Raw genomic sequence first — 1044 nt, 5'->3', positions numbered from 1 at the left:
TTCCAGAGTGGTGACACTAGTTACAGGGAGATTTTTGTTGGTACCTCCTACTGTACCAGGCACTGTGTCATTCCTTTTATTTTAGAGTCTACTTCAATACTCAAGTCCCTTATGAGGTAATTTTGCTCCTCATTTTCTGAGAAAACTGAGGCTCAAATGCTGCAGCAGCCTCTTCAGTGACACATACTATAAAATGGCACAGTGGATACTCAAATCAAAATCAGCTTACCCCATAAACCTGATGGGTATTTCTCTCTGAGTAGCCCAGAATGTGGAGTGACATGAAACAAAATAACACACAATGAGCGCAGATCAAAAAATGAAGTTGCTTGTAAAACACTTGCATCTGTACATCTTGCCTGAATTTCTACCAGTAATTACCTTCATGGAAATATTTATAACTGGAGTCTTTCCCTCTCTCAGCCCTTCTGAGAAATGTCCAAAAAGCCACGCAGATTCTCGTACAGTTGAACAATAGTAATATGTTTAATTAACATGAAGCAGCACCAACTCATTAGTTGATGTTTGACACTGGGAAACTGCACCCTCCCTGGGCCACAAAATTTCAGCACTTGTGAGGGTTTGACCCAGTTTATGGCTCCTGAATATGGAGGATGCCTTCAAGTGCAGTGGGTCTAGATACTGCAGGGTCTCCAGCACTGGCTGTGGCTCACCTAAGCCTGTTTCTTTTTGCGTCTGTGAGCCCATCGGTGGCCAGGCCTGACTGGGCAGTGTGCTGGCCTTTCTCCTTCATTCTAGAACCTGTGGTTCTTAGTTCATGGGTCTCTGATCAAGCAGAGACAGGAGGTTTCTTTTATTTTTGTTTTATCCCCCTCCTGTTCCTTCTCTCAATTCCTTACACTGCTCATCACCCGACACACAACGGACTTAGCATCTGTGGAGGTCTCTCTGTGCCTCAAGCTCTGTCTCCAACCAGTCCAGGAGCCGTTTCCCAGTGGTATCCTGCAGCACGTTGTGGGAGCTTTGCTATTAGATATCGTCAACAGCATCTGGCAAAGGCAACCACAGTTCTTTGGGGTCAGA

The sequence above is a fragment of the Homo sapiens genome, chromosome 8 (assembly GCF_000001405.40).
Source record: "Homo sapiens chromosome 8, GRCh38.p14 Primary Assembly".
Lineage (NCBI taxonomy): Eukaryota > Metazoa > Chordata > Mammalia > Primates > Hominidae > Homo > Homo sapiens.
This window is presented reverse-complemented; position numbering follows the sequence as displayed.